General features: G+C 36.1%; 1 protein-coding gene across 31 annotated transcripts in view; it reads left to right on the top strand.

The window, feature by feature from the left end:
• ENOX1 (ecto-NOX disulfide-thiol exchanger 1) overlaps positions 1–23,866 on the top strand; it is a 573,843-nt gene that overhangs the window by 275,024 nt on the left and 274,953 nt on the right. The window contains exon 1 of one of the 31 annotated variants that reach the window (XM_024449374.2): positions 5,723–6,457. The exons of the other annotated variants lie outside the window; for them this stretch is intronic. The gene's annotated coding sequence lies outside the window, so the exon portion shown is untranslated. Of the gene's footprint in view, positions 1–5,722; positions 6,458–23,866 lie in introns of those variants that run through there. 31 annotated transcript variants of the gene reach the window in all.

Raw genomic sequence — 23,866 nt, 5'->3', positions numbered from 1 at the left:
TATATACATAATATACATAAGTATACACACATACGCACTTCTCAGCCTTAAGCTAGGGAATTTGCATGATCGCCTGTGGAAAGGAAAGGAAATATGTGGTGCTCGCCTTTTGGATTCCCTAGAATGAACCTGGAAGATTATTACAGTTTGAAGCAGCAGTTGCTGGTGACAGTTTTTCCCCTACAAGGAGGTGAAATGATGCAGACCAATGGTCTAACATTTCCCAAAGCACTATAAAAGAACGAGTAAGAATCAGTGAAATGTTATAGTGCTGTGTGCCTTATTTTGGGAATTTTAGAATTACTTTGGCAAACTCCTTTATCCCAGGAGAACCTCTTGACCTAATTTAGTAAGTTCTAACTGAAAGATCTTGCTCATAGCACAGAATACATGCTTGAGAGGTGGTGTGTTGTTTCATTTTGGCGTTTGCCTTTTAAAAGTTCTAGAGCATTTCAGGTCAATCTGATATGCTTATACTGAAGTAAACTGATATTTGGATTTCAGTACTATGGAGCACAAAGTCCATGTAAATGTAACTGCATGAACTCTATTGTGCAGTTAATCTATAAAATAAGGTCTTCTGAATAAAATTATTGTCTAAAAATATTACCAACACTAAGAATGTTCCTGAAGCAAATCTCAATAAAAATTGAAACTGTTTTATATTTAAAGAAGCTTGTCATGTCCAAGTAACTTTTAAAAAACTTTATGAAAGAGAAAACACATTTAGCAATGTGCTTTGAAAAACAAGCCAAGAATGGATAGAGAGCCTGAGGCTGCTTCTATGATTAAATGCCTCAGCTCATATCCTTATTTTATCCAAAACACATAACTTACTGAGCTGTAGCTCCATTGAGCTCTTTAAGGAACTAAATATGTAGAAGAATAGTTCATGAAGTTGAAACTTCAGAGGAATTCAGCAATGTAAAATATAGCCTTAAACTTGCACGTGGCATTAGTAGAAAAAGTTCGCAGTATGGACATTGCTGAATTTCCTTATATTTTTTCTGCATCCCTATAGTAATAGGAGTGGTAGCAACAACACTAGCAGCCGTACTTAATGCTTACTTTGTACCAGCCCGTTTTCAATGAGTTACAGATAGTAATCTATTTAATTATCACAACCCTATAAGTTAGGCATCATTATCATCTCCCAAATTACATATAAGGAAATTAAGCATAGAGAGGTTAAATAACTTTCTCAAGATCATATAGCTAGTCAGTCAGTCATAGAGGTGGGATTTGAACTCAGGAAGTCCAGTTTCAGGGTTTACACTTTGAACAACTGCATTATCCTGCCTCTCCCACGTAGATGAGTCTAATTATGGCCCAGTAGAAGGAATCAAAATGCGGGCAATGGCTTTGTCAGAGCCTTTAGGAGCGGGCCCCAACAGGAATTGGATTATGCAGAGTAACAACTGCTCACCTTTTAGAATTTAATTTGCAAAGCACTTTCACCTGTACTTATTCCTTTGCTCTTTACAGTAAATTTACAAGGTGTTTATTCATTTAAAAATTTTACAGAATACCTATTATATGTCAGACACTCTTCTAAATGATTGAATACAGTAGTGGATGATATAACATTCTTGCTCTCATGGAACTTACATTCTTAAAAGGATTGTATAAGTAATTACAATGTTAGTAACAACCATCACTCTGTATGAATGCATCAGAAATAGGAGTGCCGGCTGGCAGGAGAGCAAAACCTTGTCTGTTACCAATTCTAGAAGGCCTGTAAAATCTCACATGGATTGATCTGGAGGCTCTTTTTGAGCTCTGATTTTATCCACACCAAGAAAGTCCTATAATATTTATAGATTATTCTTTTTGTTGTTGCTGTTCTGTTACAAAATTATTTTGGTGACTTCCATCTCCTACTTAGATCTATACATATGTACAGAGAAACCCTTTCCACAATGACTTCCAACAGACGTCTGATGTGTACCACTACTCATGAAACTTTCTGAGCCCTAATTTTGCTAAAAATGGGTAAATATAAGGCTGTCCAACACTGAGAACATAGGTCTGGAAACTTCCAGCTGCTGGAAAATTCTCTTTCAGGAAAGGGTGGGTGTTGGGGGTTGGGGAGACATTTTTTTTTTCTTTCTTTAGGAAAAGCAAACCAGCTTTCATTTTTAAGGCTTCTGCAAGAAGGGGACTTTGCTGTTGAATTTCAGATGTTTGCCTGTGTCAAATGACATTGGAAAACCTCTTCATTTGGTTTAAACACAAAGCAAAGGAAATTTGAAGATGAATGAGAATACCATCCACAGACTGTAATCTTTCTTATTTGGACATTTGTCTTTTTAAGGTTTTCCACTTCATTTTCACATTTTCCAAATCTATATTGCAGAGTAGTTAACACACTTAGAAAGTCCAGTTCGTGCTACATCAGATGTATTCCAAATTTTAAGTGACAATTCTGTTGTATCCCACTATGCTTCAAAAAATTTGAGCTGTGCTGTGATTGACGGCAGAGGTATTATGTCCTAGAAATGAAAGTGGAGGATGTGGCTCACAGACCCTGATTCTAGTGGGCAATTTGTAATCTTTCTCATAGGAAATCAGAGGGAATAAATGACAGACTCAAGGTATTTCAGGATGGCTGCAATTTAAGCAGTCATCCATTGTTGTACTAGTGAGCAGAGAGACCAGTGTTCCTCTTTCTCTAACATGTGTTAGATACTAGTGGGGAGACTCATTAGGACAGGCATTTATTCACCTCATATTTTTAACAAATATTTTAACCAGTTTTATTTCTTTAACACCTAATATCCCTGATATAGGCTATTTTGTCATCTGTTCTAAAATATTGCTGTGATATTTCCTACCACAGAGTAGAATGTGTAGAAGACATTGCTATTTGAGCTTTAAAATGTAGTAATTTCTGAATTACCAACAAGACCTTATTTAAATGCTGAGAGCTGCATTATGATGAAGCATTAGTCTAGCTGGATGATTTCCAGATGGATTTTTAAACATTAATAAATGTTTCACATTTATTTGATCAATAAATGCATATATATGCTTTTAAAAATTAAAGAGTATAGGAGGGCTTATAATGAAAAACTATAGTCCTGGATCCCACCTCTAGACTTACTGCCCAAAGAAAAACTAATAATTTTTTTTAGCTGTTTCTATGTTTATATTTTTGTTAGTTCCTTTTTAGTTCTAACTGTGTAATATTGGCTGAATCAAGTATTGCATGTGTATGTGATCACAATTTCTTGATTTATAAAATTTCAATATTATCTGTTGACTTAATCACTGTGATACATAATGATCTAGCAGCTCCCCATTGCTAAAATACCCTCCTATTTTAGAGAGTAAAACCTCTAAATATTTTAGAGAGGAAAACCCAGAAGTTCTCGTTACCTGTATACCTTTGAATAATATACTTATTCTTTCATTTCTATCTCAATCATATACAGTACCAAATGATTCCTTTTTAAGATGAGACTATTACTTAGTCTGTGTTGCTGTAACAAAAATACCTGACACTAGGTGATATATAAAGAACAGAAATTTGTTTCTTCTAAGTTTAGAGGTTGGAAAGCACAAGATCATGGTGCTGGCAGTTTCTGTGTCTAGTGTAGGCCTGTTCTATCCATAGTGTGTTTTCATGGAAGCATCCTCACATAGAAGAGGAGGAAGAGCAAAAGAAGAAAATGCCATATCCTCACATAGCAGAAGAGCTAAAAGGACCTACGCCAGTTCCCTCCAGCCCATCTATAAGGCACTGATCCATTCATGAGGATGGAGCTCTCGTGACTTTGTCACTTCCCCAAAGCTTCCATCCACCTCTTAATAACAGCACAATGAGGATTGAGTTTCAAATTTTGGACAAGTTCAGACCATAACAATCATTCTTTCTATAACTCCTCCCTTTAATGCCTTCCAGTTTCTCTCATATGTGCTTTTAATTTTAAATTATTAAGGTTGATATAATGTTTTTCAAATATATTACAACTCTAGTTGTAATATTGTTAGGTTGATTCTAATGGTTAAAAATCAATATATAGGTATGAATATGTAGTTATAACTACTGATCTAAGTTGTATACTATGATTGTATTTGTTTTTCCTAGAGTTTCTAATTGCTTTTACTTTTCTTTGTGTAATCTGCCTTTATTGCATTTTTAAGTACTTTCACCTCAGGAAATAGAATAAAATATTTAGAAATCCCCTTTTTCCTAGATACCTCCCTCTGTCCCAGGTTGGGGTAACTGGTACACAGGCATCTTGCCTTGCTCTTGCTTGGATTCATGCCTTTTCTTACTTTAATTTTATTTACTGCTGAAGCACATCCTCAAGAATTTTTCCAGAAAGGACATGTGGGAAGTAAATACTCCGAATCTTTGTATATCTGAAAGTGACTTATTATTTTGGCTAGATTTGGCTAGATTAAGACATATAAGTTAAAAACAATTTTCCCTTGGAAATTTGAAGGCATTGCTCTATTTTTTAGTATCCAGTATTGCTGACAAGAAATTCGATTCCTGCCCCTTTGTAAGTTACTAATTTTTTCCTCCTCAGTTTTTAGAAACTTATCTGTAGGAACTCTTACAAAAACATATCTGGTTATGATTCTTTTCTTCATTGATTATGTTTACCTCTTGATGAGCCCTTTAATTTTGAAAACACCTGACCTTCACTTGTGGAAATTTCTTTTGAATTCCTCTCCTTTGCTTTTCTTACTGGGAATTCTCCTTGGCATTCTTAGTAGTTGGGTCTTCTGGTTGGATTCTCTATATCCTTTGTCTTTTGTCTTCTGTTTTTCATTTCTCTTTCAGTTTTTAAAAGCTTTCTGGAAGAATTATTAAACACAATTTTCTTTATATTGATTTTTGTAAAATTGATAATTGTCTGATTATTTCTTTAATAAAATCTTCTTTATGTTTTTAGAGTTTTAAAAGTTCTATTCTGTCAATCACTCAAATTCCCTCAAGGGTTTTTTTTTATTATACTTTAAGTTTTAGGGTACATGTGCACAATGTGCAGGTTTGTTACATATGTATACATGTGCCATGTTGATGTGCTGCACCCATTAACTCGTCATTTAGCATTAGGTATATCACCTAATGCTATCCCTCCCCCGTCCCCCCACCCCACAACATTCCCCGTTGTGTGATGTTCCCCTTCCTGTGTCCATGTGTTCTCATTGTTCAATTCCCACCTATGAGTGAGAACATGCGGTGTTGGGTTTTTTGTCCTTGCGATAGTTTGCTGAGAATGATGGTTTCCAGCTTCATCCATGTCCCTACAAAGGACATGAACTCATCATTTTTTATGGCTGCATAGTATTCCATGGTGTATATGTGCCACATTTTCTTAATCCAGTCTATCGTTGTTGGACATTTGGGTTGGTTCCAAGTCTTTGCTATTGTGAATAGTGCCACAATAAACATATGTGTGCATGTGTCTTTATAGCAGCATGATTTATAATCCTTTGGGTATATACCCAGTAATGGGATGGCTGGGTCAAATGGTATTTCTAGTTCTAGATCCCTGAGGAATCGCCACACCGACTTCCACAATGGTTGAACTAGTTTACAGTCCCACTAACAGTGTAAAAGTGTTCCTATTTCTCCACATCCTCTCCAGCACCTGTTGTTTCCTGACTTTTTAATGATCGCCATTCTAACTGGTGTGAGATGGTATCTCATTGTGGTTTTGATTTGCATTTCTCTGATGGCCAGTAATGATGAGCATTTTTTCAGGTGTTTTTTGGCTGCATAAGAAGAACAAAGCTGGAGGCATCATGCTACCTGACTTCAAACTATACTACAAGACTACAGTAACCAAAACAGCATGGTACTGGTACCAAAACAGAGATATAGACCAATGGAAGAGAACAGAGCCGTCAGAAATAATGCCGCATATCTACAACTATCTGATCTTTGACAAACCTCACAAAAACAAAAAATGGGGAAAAGATTCCCTGTTTAATAAATGGTGCTGGGAAAACTGGCTAGCCATATGTAGAAAGCTGAAACTGGATCCCTTCCTTACACCTTATACAAAAATTAATCCAAGATGGATTAAAGACTTACATGTTAGACCTAAAACCATAAAAACCCTAGAAGAAAACCTAGGCAATACCATTCAGGACATAGGCATGGGCAAGGACTTCATGTCTAAAACACCAAAAGCAACGGCAACAAAAGCCACAATTGACAAATGGGATCTAATTAAACTAAAGAGCTTCTGCACAGCAAAATAAACCACCATCAGAGTGAACAGGCAACCTACAGAATGGGAGAAAATTTTTGCAACATACTCATCTGACAAAGGGCTAATATCCAGAATCTACAACGAACTCAAACAAATTTACAAGAAAAAAACAACCCCATCAAAAAGTGGGCGAAGGATATAAACAGACACTTCTCAAGGGTTATTTTTGTTTGTTGATTGCAGACTTCTTTATCTTTCCAACTTTCTTCAAATGTCTGTCAGTAAGTGTTATACAATTATATTTAAGAAAGAAAATTTGACTGCAAACTTTGTATCAGAGATTATAGCCTGATATCTTGCTTTTTAGGGTATAGTCTAGAAATCTGGTTGTTTCCCTACAGAATTCTCTCAAATTTCTGCCTTCTTTTGATCATCCTTTCTTCTCACATGTACTTAGGCTGTAGCTTTCTCAGTCCTGTTCAATTCTATCATCTAGAATTTTTCTAGCATTTCCTCATTCACTCCAATTTTCTTTGGCTTTGTAGATTTATGGCTATTTGGGAACCTGAGAAGGCATGGAATAAGTTGATGTGATCCGATTACCATGTTGAACTGGAAGCATCTAGAACAAGTATAAATCTCATGTCTCTTTACAGTTGTTTGAAAGTTAAAATGTAAAATAATTGGATATTACCTCACCAAAAGATAGGTGTTTCTTTTATTTCCTAAAAAAGTCAGTACTATCTACCTGACTTTTGAAGTCAGAGTGGTTTTGGATATTGATCTTTTTAAAGAGAAATCACTTTGAGGTAAGAATAATGTAAAATTTTTACATATTTAATGTATGTAACTTGGTGAGTTAGAGATAAGTATATAACCATGAAACCATCACCATAATCTATGCCATAAACATATTAATCACCTCCAAAAGTTTCATATTATTTTGCAGTAAGAACATTTAACATAAGATCGAGCAAATAATGTCACTGCAAATTTTAAGTCTTACAAAATATTAACTATAGGCACTCTACTGTACAGTAGAGCCCTAGGACTTGTCTTTTATAACTGAACATTTTTACCCTTTGACTAATACCTCCACATTTTGCCCTTCCTCTGGCCCTTGGCAACCACCATTCTATCTGCTTTTATGAGTTTGATTATTTTAGATTCCTCATATTAGTAGTATCATGTAGCATTTTTCCTTCTGTGCCTGGCCTAGTTTACTGAGCATAATGTCTTCCAGATTCATCCATGTTGTTGCAAATGACAGGATTTTCTTTTTCAAGGCTGAATAATATCCCATTGTATGTATATACCACATTTTCTTTATTTGTCCATCTGTCAACAGGTATTTAGGTTGTTTCTATATCTTGCCTATTGTGAATAATGCTTCAGTGAGCATGATAGTGCAGAAATCTCTTTGTGACCCAGACTTTGATTCCTTTGGTTATATACTCAGAAGTGGGATTTCTACTATCCAGTGGTAGTTCTGATTCTTTAAGGAATCCCCATACAGTTTTCCACAGTGGTTGCACCAATTTACATTCCCACCAACAGCTTATAAAGGTTCCTTTTTCTCTGTGTCCTCACCAACATTTGTTATCTTTTTATTTTTTATAATAGCCTAACAGGTGTGAGGTGGTATCTCAGTTTTGATTTGAATTTCCCTGATGATTGGTACTGTTGAGTATGTTTTCATATACCTGTATGTCTTCTTCAGAGAAATGTCTACTCAGTTTCTTTACCCATTTTTATTGGATTTTTTTGCTATTGAGTTGCAGGAATTCCTGATATATTTTTGACATTAACCCTTTATTAGATAAATTATTTTCCCCCATTTTGCAAAGGTTTTCTCCCATTTTGTAAGTTACCTTTTCATTTTGTTGATTATTTCCTTTGTGGTGTAGTTTTCTAGATTGATGTGATCCCACATATCTATTGCTTGCTCTTGTTGCCTGTCCTTTGGTATCATATCCAATAAATCATTGCTGAAGTCAACATTATGGAGCTTTTCTTCTAGAAAATTTGTGGTTTCGGGTCTTCCATTTAAGTCTTTATTCCATTTTGAGTTTTTATTGTATACAGTGTAACAGTAAGGGTAAAATTTCATTCTGTTGTATATGGATGTCCACTTTTTCCACCATCATTTGTTTAGTCTTGGCACCCTTGTTGCAGATCATTGGATCTTACATGCCTGGGTTTATTCTGGATTCTCTACTTTGCTCCATTGTTCCATATGCCTGTTTTTATGCCAGGTTATCCTCTTTTGATTACTATAGCTTTGTACTATATTTTGAAGTCAGGAAATGTGATACTTCCAGATTTTCCTTTGATCAAAATTGCTTTGGCTATTCAGGGTCTTTTATGGTTTCATATACGTTTTAGGATTGTATTTTTTGTTTCTGTAAAAAAATGCCACTGGGATTCTGATAGAGGTTTCATTGAATCTGTAGATTGCTTTGGATAGTGTGAACATTTTGATATTCTTCAAATCAAAATATTTTTGTTTGATATCTCAAGTCTTTCCATGAACATGGGATTTTTATTTATTTGTGTGTGATTTAATTTCTTTCATCGGTGTTTTACAGTTTTTGTGTACAAGTCTTTCACCTCCTTGGTAAAGATTATTCCTGAGTACTTCGTTCTTTTTGATGCAGTTGTACATGGGATTGTTTTAATTTCCTTTTCAGATAGCTAATTGTTTATGTATAGAAACAGAACTAATTTTTATATGTTGATTTTTACAACCTGTAACTTTACTAAATTTATTATTTATAACACTTTCTGTGTGTATGGACTTCTTAGAGTTTTCTGTATATAAAATCATGTCATCAGCAAACAGATTATTTTATTTTTTCTTCCCAATTATTTCCTTTACAAAGTAAAAAATATATATATATTTCTTTTTATTGCCTGATTGCTCTGGCTAGAATTTCAGTACTCATTTGAATAGAAATGGTAAGAGTGGATATCCTTACTTGTTCTGGATTCAATAAGATCTTTCAGTTTTTCACCGTTGAGTGTGATGATACATATGGGCTTTTCATGTAAGGCCTTTATTTTGTTAAGGTAAGTTTCTTCTTTACCTAATTTGTTAAGTTTTTATTATGAAAGCGTGTTTAATTTTATAAAGTGCTTTTCTGCATCTATTAATATTATCATGTGATTTTTATCCTTTATTCTGTTACTATGATGTATCACATTGATTGATTTTCATATGTTGAGCCATCCTTGCATCCCAGGAATAAATCCCATTTGCTCGTGGTGTATGACCCTTTTAATGCACTATTGAATTTGGTTTGCTGCTATTTTGTTGAAAATTTTTACATTAATGTTCAACAGAGATATTGGCCTATTTTCTTTTCTCATGGAATCTTTGTCTTGGTTTGTATTGGGGTGTCTGGACTCATAAAATGAGTTTGAAAGTGTTTCCTCTTCTAGTTTTTGAGAGTTTAAGAATATTGGCATTCATTCTTTAAATGTTTGATAGAATTCACCTGTGGAACCATCTGATACTGGGCTTTTACTTAGTAGGTGGTTTTTGATTACTTATTAGCTCTCCTTATTTGTCATTGATCCGATTAGGCTTTCTATTTCTTCATGATTCAGTGTGGTAGGTCCTGTGTTTCTAATAATGTATTCATTTCTCCTAGGTTATCCAATGTGTTCGTATATATTGTCACATATAATAGTTTATTATGATATTTTTTATTTTTGTGGCATCAGTTATAATGGCCCCTCTTTTATTTGACTTATTTGAATCTTTTTTTCTTAGTCTGGGCAAGAATTTGTGTATTTTATCTTTTCAAAAAACCAACTCTTTGTTATATTATTTTCTAATGTTTTTCTGTTTTCTAGTTCATTTATTTCTGTTCTAACGTTTAATATTTTCTTTCTTCTGTTAGCTTTTGGCCTGGTTTGTTCTTTTTCTAGTTCTTTAAAGCATACAATTAGGTCATTCATTTAGCTTTTTTTTTTTTGTTAAGGTAGGTGTTTATACTATAAAATTCCCTCTTATTATTTCTTTTGATGCATCCAATAAGTTTTAGTATATTTTTCATTTTTATTTTTCTCAACATACTTTTTAAATTTCCTTTTCATTTCTTTTTGTGAGCCAATAGTTGTTTAGGAGTGTGTTTTCAAATTTCCATGTATTTGTGAATTTTCTCTTTTTTTGTTATTGATATTGTGTTTGATTTCACTGTGGTCAGAAAGATACTTGGTATGATTTTAATCTTTTTAAAATAAAGATTTGTTTTGTGACCAAGCATGTGATCTACCCTAGAGAATGTTCTATATGCACTTGAGAACAATGTTTGCTCTACTGCTGCTGGGTAGAATGTTCTGTACATTTCTGTTAGGTCCATTTGGTATATAGTGTTATTCAAGACTGCTGTTTTCCTTAATAACTTTCTGTGTGATCAATCCATATTGAAGATGAGTTATTGAAGTCTACTACTGTTATCTTCCTGTTAAACTGACTCTTTTTTCCCCTATATAATGATCTTTGTCTCTTGTGACAGTTGACTTAAAAGCATTTTGTATATTTCAAAAATAGCTACCCCTGCTTTATTTTGTTTACTGTTTGCTTTGAGTATTTTTTTTTCATTCTTTTACTTTCAGTCTGTGTGTCCTTAAATTTAAAGTTCTTCTCTTGTAGACAACACATAGTTGAATCTTATTTTTATATTTATTTGGTGAGTTTGATCCACTTAAATTATTGATAAGTAAAATACTATTGTTATATTGTTAGTTGTCTTGTTTTATAGTTCTTTTGTTCCTCTTCCTTTTTGCTGTTTTATTATGTGAGCTTTTGTAGTAATAAGCTTTTATTCTATCTTTTGTATCTACTATACTTTTGTAATTACCATGAGGTGTACATAAAACTTCTTATAACAGTCTATTTTAAGATAACATATCTTCAATAACACACAAAAACTATGTTTATTACACAGTTATTGATGTGATAGTTTACTTTTTATATTGTGCATTAATATTTTTGGTAATAGTTATTCTTAAAACTAATCTTTTTACTTTATATTAGGATTATAAGTAATTTATACATCTTCATTACAATATACATTGTTATGTATTAGTCTGTGTATTTACCTTTACCAGCCAAGATTTATATTTTCATATACTTTCATGTTGCTGTTTAGTATCCTTTTGTAACAACTTGAAGAACTCCCTTTCACACTTCTTATAAGGAGGACCCAGTGTTGACATACTTCCTTAGTTTTCATTTGTCTTGGAACATCTTTGTCTCTCATGCATTTTTAAAGGACATTTTTACCAGATATAGTATTTCTAGATGGCAACTTTTTTTCTCTTTCAGCACTTTGAATATAACATCCCACTCTCATCTTGCCTGCAACATTTCTGCTGAAAAATCTGCTAATAGTTGTATGGAGATTTATATATGTGAGGAGTCCTTTTTCTCTTGCTTTCAAAATTGCCTTTGACTTTTGACAATTTAATAGTAATTTCTCCTAGAACTCTTTAGGTTCCACCTATTTGAGTTCTCTCATGAATTTGAATGTCCATTTCCGTCTTCAGGTTTTAAAAAGTTCAGCCATTATTTCTTTAAATAAGCTTTCTGTTCCTTTTTCTCTTCTTCTGAGTGTCCCATAATGCATATATTAGTTTGCTTGCTGATGTTGCTTGCTAGTCCATATATTAGCTTACTTGCTGATTAGTCTGCTTGCTCTTAAGTCTAGTGGAATTTCCTCACACTTTTCTTTCTTCTTTAATAATTCGAAATGACATATCCTTGAGTTTATTCTTTCTTCTGCTTGATTGAATCTGCTGTTGAAACCGTTTAATTTTTTAGTTCAGTCATAATAACTGCAGCTCCAGAATTTCTATTTGGTTCTTTTTTATGGTTTCTATCTCTTTGTTGAACTTCTAATTTTGTTCATTTATTTTCCTGATTTGTTCTCTTGTAGCTCACTGAGCTTCTTTAAGATAATTGTTTGAATTCTTTTTCTGGCAGTTATAGGTCTCCATTTCTTTAGGGTTGGTTACTGGAGCTTTATTTTGTCTTTTTGGTGGTGTCATTTTCCTGATTCTTTGTGATCCTTGTATCTTTGTGTTGGTGTCTGTGCACTTGAAGAAGCAGTCACCTCTCTCCATCTTTATAGACTGGTTTTGGTAGGGAAAGCCCTCCACAAGTCATCCTGGAAAGAGATTCTGGGCAGGACATTTGACAGGGTCTGCAGGTGGCCCTGTTGATGAGGGCTGTGGGTGGGCCGGGTGTCAGTGTCTGTGAGTAAGTGGATTTGTGTCCAGGGTCTTTGTATTGTGGATATTGACCTTTATTATTAATTTTTCTATTGGCAACCTGTGTCTTTTTTGGAAGTAGTGGTTATAGCTGTTACCAAAGATGTTTCCAAATTACTCTTGCTTGCCCCTAAATATAGTATATTTATCAAACTAAGAAATTAACATTTACACAATACAATTAACTATAGTCTATACTTTACTCTTTTTTTAAGTAGTTTTTCAACTGTGTCCCTTTTTTGTTCCAGGATCCAGTCTAGGATACCACAGAGATCATATTTCTTTAGTATCCACCAATCTGTGACAGTTTTAGGTTTTCCTTGATTTTCATGACCTTGACAATATTTAAGAGTAAAGGTCTGATATTTCATAGAATATTAATTAGTTTCCTAATATGTTATCACAGTTAGAAGAGCATTAGGGATATTAGGGAAAAATACCACAGTGGTAAAGTACATTTATCATAATATCAAAGGTACATGATATCAACATGACTTTAAATGGTGATGTGTGAACCTTGATTACTTGATTAAGGTGGTGCTTGCCAGGTTTCTCCACAATTACTACTTTCCTCTTCCATATTAGTTTCAAGCAAGTCACTAATTCTATCATCCAGTCAAGGGGAAAAAAATTAAGTTCCATCTCCTGATGGAAGAATATAAAAGAATTGTAGACACATGTTAAAAGCCACCATAGTAATTAATATGTTAGGGATACTACTTTGAGTCATTTTAACTGTCCTGCTCCTTGTTAAATGAGTGGCTTTTGGCCACTCATTTTTTTGTATTCATCATTGAGTTTTGCCTGTAGCAGTTCTAACTAGATGTTCTAATTATTGTTTCTCTCATTCCATCTTTTTTTTTAAATTTAGAATTCTGCAAGAAAGATACTTTTCTCACCCATTTATTGATTCAGTCATTCAGTTGACTATTGACAATATTATGAACTCATGGATCATTATTTTATTCTTTGAGGTATATAGTCCAGTATTATTATTTATTGTTTCTCAAATTGTTGCAGTTTGGCCATTGGAAGCGCTTTAAGGTTGGCTTCTGTTACTTTGATGTGTCCAATCTTAGTTATTATTATCATTATTTTCTAACATTTTCATGCTTCCTGTTATTACTATAAGATGCTCCAAGCACATCTGTAATAGATATCAAGCTAACCAACAGTGAACAAATCCATAATCTCAGAAACACATATAAAATGTTAACAGACTATGCTAAATTCCATGGAGAACAATGAAAGTTTAAGATATTTCCGCCTCTGAGGACACTATAATCTGTTTTTCAAAGGTAAAACAAACTAATAAAGATGACTGAAAACACATGGCAGTGCAAAATTATGTCAGTAAGGGCTGGAGAAGCTCTCAGAAGAGGAAAAAGTACCAGCGAGTTTAATGTACCAAGAAAGGAGGTCCAGTGAAATATATATGGTTTAGTCAAGTGAAGGAATTATTATTATAGGGTATGAGAAGCCATAAGAAACAAACTTATCTTAGATGAAATGGACAAGTTTTTTTTATAAGATAAAATTTACTAAATCTTATATTAGAAGAAACAGAAAATGGGAATAGCTCTGTATTTGTTAACTAAATTGAATTTATAATTCAGAGGCTTCCCACAAAGAACACTCCAGATCCAGATGCTTTCACTAATGAATTCCTTCAAACATTTAAGAAGAAATACCAGTCTTAAACAAAGACGGGAAATAGAGGTGGGGAGAACACTTCTAGTCATTGTTTGAGAGCTTTGTAATTCTAATACCAAGTCCTGATAAGGACATTATTAAAAAAGTCACACATCGATATGCCTTATGATCATAGACACAAAAATGTTTAACATACAATTAGGAAATAACACATAATCACTGCAGTGATGTGTTATTATGTATTAACATACAGTAATATATCCTGACAAAAATGAATTTCAAGTATGTATGCATTCTTTAATATTCAAAATCAATCCACATTAATAGAAAAAAAGGTTATCTTACTAGTTAGAGAGACAGCATTTAATAAAATTCAACCTCTAATCATGATAAAAACTCAGACTAGGAATAAAAGGTATCTTTCCTAATCTGTTAAAGGGAATCTGTGAAAAACCTTCAACTAAGGATGTTAACAGTGAATACTTTCCCTCCAAATCAGGAAAAGAGATGTGGGTGTTCACTCTCACCAGTTCAACATTGTACTGGAGGTCCTAACCAATGCAGTCAGGCCAGTAAAATAAATAAAAAGTATATAGATTGGAAAAGAATAATAAAAATATTTGGAGACAGCAAGTCAAAAATTTACTTAAAAAATTGTATAGAAAATCCTATGGAGTCTAAAAAAGATCTATTTGAACTTAGCAAAAATCTCTTGAATTTACAAGGTTTCAGGATGCAAGATAAATGTAAAGTATCAGTGCTATTTCTATACAGTAAGAAACATTTGGTAAATGAAATTGCAAATGGAAGACTCTATATTAAGATTTTTATTTCAAAATATGTGTATATTTAACACAGTCCCAAAAGTTTATGTTTTTTTGGTGGAAATTAATAAATTGGTTCTAAAATTTATACAGAATTATAAGGACTTATTAGTGTCAAATTATTTTAGAAAAAGATGACAGTGTTGGGGGACTAGCTTTCTGATTTCAAGACTTCTATAAAAGTGTTAAGAAAATATGATACTAGACAAAGATAGACAAATAGATCAATGGAACAGAATATGTTATCATGAAATAGACACAGACTTATACAGTAAATTGATTTAATAACAAAGCAATTTTGTTACATATAGGAGAAAGGCTCATTAAGAAATGGAGGCTGGGTGTGGTGACTCATGCCTATAATCCCAACACTGTGGGAGGCCGAGGTGGGAGAACTGCTTGAGCCTAGGAGTCTAAGACCAGCCTGGGCAACATAGCGAGACCCTATCTCTAAATAAATAGTCAAAGTAGCTGAGCATGGTGGTGCACATCAGTAGTTCCAGCTACTTGGGAAGCTGAGGCAGGATTGCTTGAACCCAGGGGTACTCGGTTACAGTCAGCTATGATTGTTCCACTGCACTCCAGCCTGGGCAACCAGAGTAAGACACAGTCTCTTAAAAAAAAAAATAGAAAAAGAAAAAGAGCCAATTGCTAGAGCAATTATTGAAACAGAATGAACCTTAACACCTTCTTCAGACCATACACAAAAATTGATTCAAAGTATATACTTTGAATTAGATCTTTACATGAAAGTAAAATTTATAAGATTTCTAGAAAAAGTCAAAAGATGATAACTATTTCTTAGGATACTAAAAGCACTCACATTATAGAAAAAAATCAGTTAACTATACTCCACAAACATTAAAGGCTCCCTATAAAAAAACATTTTTAATAGGCAAGCCACAGAAAGGGCAAATATTAATAGTTTGCAATACATATGTATGAAAAGGAATTGAATCTAGAATATTTAACAAAGCTTTACAACTCAAAAAATACAAAGAAAATATTTTTCTTCCAATTGGCAAATTACTTAAACAGAACCTTCACAAAAGAAGATAAGAATGTTTAATAAACATTTGAAGCCATAATAATGACATCATTAGCCATGATGGAAATGTAAATTTAAGTACCACTTCACATCCACAAGAAAAAGATAAAAATAAAAGGACTGAGCTCACCAAACATTGGTGAGGATGTGGTAATACTGAAATTCTTGTACCGTGCTCCTGAGGGTATAACATATTACAGGATTTTTTTGAAAACTAGTGGTTCCTTATAAACTTAATGCCCTGGCAACCTCACACCTATTTACTTAAGAATGAAAGGATATATGGCTTTGTATAAGAACATAAAGCCCTGAGAAGAATGTTTGTAATAGCTTTGTTTATTAATAGCCAAATACTGGATCAAGCCAAATGACCATAGACAGGAGAATGGATAAGTTATGGTAAATTCATATAATGTAATATTATATGTAGTAGGTTATTAGTCGTTTATACAATTGAATACTTATGAATTAACTACTGGAAGATTTAACAAGAATTATAATCATTACATTGAACAAAAGGAACCAGGCATAAAAGAACATATGCTATCTGGTATACCGTATGATTATATACAGAGTTCAAGTATAGGCAAAGCCATTTATGGTGATAGACATTGAAATTTCACATTTGAGTGGGGCTTGACTAGAAGGAAACTTTCAGGGGTGATGGAAATGTTTTGTATCTTGACTTGTGTGTAGGTTACTTGGGAAGGTATATTTATCAAAGCCTAGTGAACTGTACACCTAAAATCAGTGCATTTTACCATATATTATACTCGCTGAACAATAAATTAGAGATAGTCTTTGATAGTCTCTATTGATCTTTGGTGAAACATTTATCAAACTTAGATTTTCTGTATTCATAAAACATAGGAAGGAATGTGGCATTTCTCAAACTTGGCATATCTCAAAGTAAAGTCACTATCATTTTATACTCCCTAAGCATGCAGACATATACCAGCTCCCCTCTTGAATCTCCACATTCTGTCAGTGTTCTTACAGTCTCCCCCACACCTAGGCTCAAAATATTCCTATAATTGTTGACTGCATCTTTTTTCTCATTATCCATTTCATCTAATTGATGGAATTTTTTCTCTGCATTTTTCTTCCATCCAACCCTACTTTTATATTTCCACTGCTGTCTAACTGACCTATTCAAATAGCAATAGCCTTTTTTCCTATTCTAAACTTTGATGCCACGTTCATCTTCAAAAACACTTTTAATTGAAATCTGATACTTCTGCTCTAAAGCAGCCTATAAAATTTCAAATTTGTTATTCTCAATTTCACAATCATCTTATTCTCCAACTCCATAAAACTCCACTCTGTGTGTCACTCCCGTGTGTCATGATTTGTCTCATCTCTACTATTTTGTTTATTATTGTGAAAGAATGAATATATGTGCCTTCTTACAATATTAAAGGTACCTTCAGTAAAGGTACAAATAAATCGTAAACAATAAGTTAGTTGGGGGACTGTTCCGTCATTTTCTTAGGTTATATGAAGACACTGCTGGAGAAGCTTTAGTTTTGACTCATTTGTTTAACAAGAATGTAGTCACTGTGCTGGACACAGTACAATATTTGTTTGCAAACATGATGTACGTGGTCTCTGCTTGACAGAACATGAAGCTTACCATATTAGAGAGGAATCCAAAAATTATAATTCATTGTGATAAATGTGATGGGAGGGCTGTCATATTAGTCTCACAGTATCTGTGGGTCTTCGTATTAGTTAATTGTGATTATTGTGATGGTTGATTGGGTGTCAGTGTGACTGGTCTAAGGATGATATGGTTTGGTTGTGTCCCCACCCAAAATCTCATCTTGAATTGTAATCCCCATAATCCCCACATGTCAAGGGAGAGACCAGATGGAGGGAATTGAATCATAAGGGCAGTTTTTCCCATGCCATTCTCATGATAGTGAGTTCTCACGAGATCTGATGGTTTTATAAGTATTTGGTAGTTCCTCCATTTATTTTCCCTCCTGCACCTTGTGAAGAAGATGCCTTGCTTCCCCTTTACCTTCTGTCATGATTGTAAGTTTCCTGATGCCTCCCCAGCCATGCAGAACTGTGAGTCAGTTAAACCTGTTTCCTTTCTAAATTACCCAGCCTCGAGCAGTTCTTTGTAGCAGCGTGAGAATAGACTAAAACAAAGGGATACCCAGATAGCTGGTAAAGCATTAATTATTCTCAGTGCTTCAGTAGGCACTGAGCTTGTCCTTCTCCTGATGAAAGGGAAACCCAGATGGACTGTTTTGGCATTTGATTAGAATGATAGGCCTGCCCCCAGGGGAATCTGTGAAGGTGTTTCCAGAAGAGATTAGCACTTGAGTCAGTGGACTGAATGGGGAAGATCTGCCTTCAATGTGGGTGGTTACTATCCAATCAGCTGGGGTTCCCAGATGGAAAAAGAAGGCAAAGGAATGGTGAATTCTCGCTCTTTCTGGGAGCCAGGATGGCCTTTTCCTTCTGCTGTTGGATATCAGAAGTCCAGACTCTGTTGTCCTTGGACTCCAAGACTTACACCAGCAATGCCCCTAGGCTCCTGGGCCTTTGGGCTTGGTGTGAGAGTTACTACTTTCTTGGTTCTAAGGCCTTCAGACTTGAATTGAGCCTTGCTATCAGCTTCTCTTGTTCTCCAACTTCCAGATGGCTGGCCTATCATGGAACTTCTCAGCCTCCATAATCAAGTGAGCCAATTCCCCTAATAAATCCCTTATTATACATCTCTCTCTCTATAGGTCCTATCAGTTCTATCTCAACAGTCAAGGTTCTCCAGATAAACAGAACCAACAGGAGAGGGAGTGGGAGGGGGGAGAGAGAGAGAGAGAGAGAATCTTAAGATATTTTAAGGAATTAGCTCATGTAGTTATAGACACTGGCAAGTCTAAAATCTGCAGGGTAGGCCAGCAGGCTGGAGATCTAGGGAAGAAGCTCAAATCCAAAGACAGTCTGGAGGCAGAATTCCCTTTCTTGGGGGACCTCAGTCTGTTTTGCCTTATGTGCTTCAACTGATTAGATAAGGCCCACCCACATTATGGAAAGTAATCTGCTTTACTCAGTGTCTACTAATTAAATGTTAATTTTAACATCTTCACAGTAACATCTAGACTTGTGTTTGCAAATATCTAGGTACCATGGCCTAGCCAAGTTAACAACATAAAATTAACTATCACTGCATTAAAATTTAAGGCATAAAATTTTAAAGAGTTTGAGTAAGAAACAATTTATGGATGGAGAACACCAGATTGCAAGAGGTTTAGTGTCTCAATGACAGAATGAGGCAAGTATTTATTGGGAAAATGCTAAGGTAAAATAAAATTATTTGACCGGTTTGCAATGACAAAATGGCCTTTTCTTTGGTACTTTCTTGGAAAGTCCAGTCACATAATTATGTTCATTAGCTGCTTACGATGCACTGGGGTTAAGTTTTAGTTCTAATGTAAGCATTTATCAGAAGTGACCTGAGTTAAGTTTTGCTTATGTTGGCAATTTAAGCAAGATTAAGGCTATTTTTAAGACCTCTGGTTGTATTTGCTCAGGAATTTTTCAGGCCTGACCCCCTATTTTAATTGCTTAAACAACAGTCAGGAATCTGAGCATGCCTTAGCTGGGTCCTCCAACTCTGGGTCTCTCACAAGGCTTCAGTCAAAGCAATGGCCAGGCCTGTAGTCATCTCAACTAGAGCAACATCTACAGCATCTCTGCTCAACTGGGGCAGAATATATTTCCAAGCTCATTGGTTGTTGGTAGGATTTAGTTTCTCATAGGCTAATAGATAAAGGGCCCAAGTTTCTTACTGGCTGTTGTCTTGGAAAGATCCTTCAGTTTCTTTCCAAATGGGCCTCGCCATAGGGTGGTTCACAAAGTAGTAGCTGATCAGAGAAACAGGGCAAGAGAGATGTCATTTATCACTTTTGTCATAGGCGACACCCCATGCACCTGTGATGCACCTCTAGTTGAGATTCACTATATAACATAGTGAGCAGACCATTTCTACTGGATCCAAGGGTTTTGGTCAGAAATAGTCTGTTTTGAGATTACAGAGGATGGTGGGAACAGATATTTCTGGTGAATAACTTAGGTCTGATCTTTGGAAAATAGGGAGCCCTTGTAAGTTCTTTAGTAGTGGATGTACATAATTAGAGTTACATTTTAAGAATTATCTCATCTATGCATTTATTCACTTATTTTATTTATTTTTGAGATGGAGTCTCACTCTGTTGCCCGGGCTGCAGTGCAGTGGTGTTAGCTCACTGCAACCTCCACCTCCTGGGTTCAAGCCATTCTCCTGCCTCCGCCTCTCAAGTAGCTGGGACTACAGGCACACATCACCATACCTGGCTATTTTTGTACTTTTAGTAGAGACAGGGTTTCACCATGTTGGCCAGGCTGGTCTCAAACTCCTGACCTCAAATGATCTGCCTCCTCAGCCTCCCAGAGTGCTGGGATTACAGGCATGAGCCACAGTGCCCTGCCTTATTTACTTTAGTTCAAATGTTTATCACCACTATAGCCTGAGGATGACCCATTTTGGGCTCTTTTCAGGATGAACTACAAGAATAAATACTAGCTAGAAGTTATGGTTGATATGATTTGGATGTTTGTCCCCTCCAAATCTCATGTTGAAATGTGATTCCCAATGCTGAAGGTGGGGCCTGGTAGGAGGTGATGGGATCATGCGGGTGGATCCCTCATGAATGGTTTGGCACCATGTCCTTTGTGATAGGTGAGTTCTCACTAAGTCCATGCAAGATCTGGTTGTTTAAAAGAGTCTGGGACCTCTCCCTTTTCTCTCTTGCCCCTGCTGTCATCATGTGATGGACCTGCTCCCATTTGCCTTCCACCATGATAGTAAGCTTCTTGAGGATGCGCCAGAAGCAGACACCAGCGCCATGCTTCCTGTATAGGCTGAAGAACCATAAGCCAAAATAAATTTTTGCTTATGAATTACCCAGCCTCAGATGTTTCTTTATAGCAATCTAAGAATGAATTGACACAATGGTAGTGCATAAATTGTGATGTTATGAGTTGGAATGAATGGAAAATAGTGTTAACAGGTTTTCAGTGAAAGGGATAAAGAAGGATACTGTATTTATTGCAGGCTCACTCTCTTAGTCTATTTGTGCTGCTATACCAAAATACAATAGATGGGGTAATTTATAAAGCATAAAAATTTGTTTGCTTACAGTTCTGGAGGCTGAAAAGTTCAAGATGAATGCACTGGCAGGTTCAGTTTTCTGGAAAGGGAAGCTTTCTTCCAAGATGGTTATTCCGGAGGGGAGGAACCCTTTGCCCTCACATGGCAGAAGGCAGAAGAGCAATTATCCAAATGCTGTGTGAAACATTTTTTAATAAGGTCCTTAATCTCATTTACCTGGGAGGAGTCCTTATGGCCTAATCACCTCTTAAAAGCCCAATTTCTTAATAATATCACATTGCCAACACCTGAATTTTGAAGGGGACACATTTTAACCATAATATTCTACCCTGGCCCCTCTCCCAAATTTATGTCCTCTCACATGCAAAATACATTGATTCCATCCCAGTAGCCCAGTCTAAACTTGTTCTAGCATCAACTCAAAGTCTAAAATCCAGAGTCTCATCTAAATCCTCTATGGGTGAGACTCAAGGCATAATTCATGTCAAGGCAAATTGCTCTCCTGCTATGAACCTGTGAAGTTAAACAAGTTATGCGCTTCTAAAATATTAATACGATGATGGGACTGGGCGCAATGGCTTATGCCTGCAATCCCAGCACTTTGGGAGGCCGAGGCAGGTGTATCACTTGAGGCCAGGAGTTCGAGACCAGCCTGGCCAACATGACAAAACCCTGTCTCTACCAAAAATAGAAAAAAATCTGGCTGGGCGTGGGGGCAGGCACTTGTAATCTCAGCTACTCAGGAGGATGAGGCAGGAGAATCGCTTGAACCCAGGAGGTGGAGGTTGTGGTGAGCCGACGTCATGCCACTGCATTCCAGCCTGCGTGACAGAGCGACATTCTGTCTCAAAAATAAAGTAAAATACAATGATGGGACAGACATAGGATAGACATTTCCATTCCAAAAGGGAGAAATAGCAAAGAAGAAAGGGGTAACAGGTCCCAAGTAAGTCTAAAACCCAACAAGGCAAACATTAAATCTTAAGACTTGAAAGTAATCTTTTACTTCATATCTTCTTCAAGACATACTCAGCTGGGTTGGGTCTCCAAGCCTCCAGGAGACCCTTCTATGACAATATTGTTGAGCATAGCCCATGAAGCAGCTCTCGCGGGCTGGAGTTCAGCCCTTGTAGCTCTCTCAGGCTGGAGTTGCATGCTGTGGCTCTACAATAATGGGATTTTATGAGTGAACCTGCCCCCATGGCTGCACTAAGGATTGCCCTACTGGGGACTCTCTGCAGTGGCTCTGACCCCACAGTTCCACTAGTCATTGCACTAGTGAAGGGTCTCTGCCATGGTCCTACCTCTGTGGCAAGCAAGTTCATGCCTAGGTCCCAAGGCTGCCTGAGACATCCTTTGAAATCTAGGCGGAAGCAGCTGTGTCTCACAGCTCTTGCACTCTGTAAGCCTCAGAATTACGACCATATGGAGGCTGCCAGGGTTTACAGCTGCAGCTGGGTCCACTCAAGCCACAGCTGGGGAGGCTGAGGAATGCCGTAACAGAATGTGGGGAGCAGAGACTTGAGATTGCCCTGGGCAGTGAGTCCCCAGATCCCCCAGGCACCCTGGGCCCCTTCCTCAAAACCATTCTGCCCTCAAAGCCCTAGCACTCTGGGCCCATGATGGGAGGGGCAGCCTCAAAGATCTTCAAAATGTGTTTAGAGCCATTGGTGCATTGTCAATGGCTCCTGGCTTTCTTCTAAAGCACCTGGCTTTCTTCTATCCATACTAATCTCCTTACCAAACAGTCACTTGGTCATGCACTTGGTTTTCTCTTCTAAACGCACTTAATTTTTATTCTCCACATGTCCAAGCTGAAAATTTCCCAAATGCTCACAATTTGAATTAATGGAAAATTCAGAATTTACTCCACCAAATAGTCTAGTTAATTGCTCTTAAGTTCTGCATTTCACAGAGTCCTAGGACAGGACAGAATTCAGCATAATTCTTTGCCATTTTATAACAAAGACGGCCCTTCCTCTAGCTTCCAGTACCCTGTTCCTTATGTCCATCTGAGATCTCAACAGAATAATCTTTACTGTTCATGCTTATACCAACATTCTGTTCACAAACACTTAAGTAATCCATAAGGAAGTCAGGCTTTCTCTAGTCTTCTGCTTCTTCTTAGCCCTCACCACAATTGCCCTTAATGTTCTGTTCATGACGGTACAGGCTTTTTCCAGCATTTACCCATTACCATTCCAGCTTCTACCCATTACCCAATTCCAAAGCTGTTTCTACATTTTTAGGTATTTATTACAGCATCATCCCATTCTTCTGGCACCAATTTCTGCCTTTGTTGTTCCTATAACAAATACCATTGATTAGGTAATTTATAAAGAATAGAAATTTATTTTCTCACAGTCCTGGAGGCTAGAAAGTTCAAGATTAAAGCACCAGAAGATTCTGTTGTCTGTGGTGCTGGCTGCTCTCCACTTCCAAGATGGTTTCTCTGGAGGGGAATATTGCTGTGTTTGCACGTGGTGGAAGGCAGAAGGGCCAGCTACCTGAATGCTGTGTGAAGACTCTTTTATAAGGGCCTTGATCACATTCATGAGGGAGGAGTCCTCATGGCCTAATCATCTCTTAAAGGCTATACCTCTTCACACTATCACATTGGCAACACCTGAACACATTTCAACCATAGAACTCTCCTTGATTAGACCTTCCATGGCTAGGAAACAGGGAGGGTATAGGAGAATTCAAGCCACTGTGGGCTTTT

This window comes from Homo sapiens, chromosome 13 (genome assembly GCF_000001405.40).
Source record: "Homo sapiens chromosome 13, GRCh38.p14 Primary Assembly".
In the NCBI taxonomy this organism is placed as follows: domain Eukaryota; kingdom Metazoa; phylum Chordata; class Mammalia; order Primates; family Hominidae; genus Homo; species Homo sapiens.
Note: the sequence above shows the minus strand (reverse complement) of the source record. Positions and strands in the feature narration are given on the sequence as shown.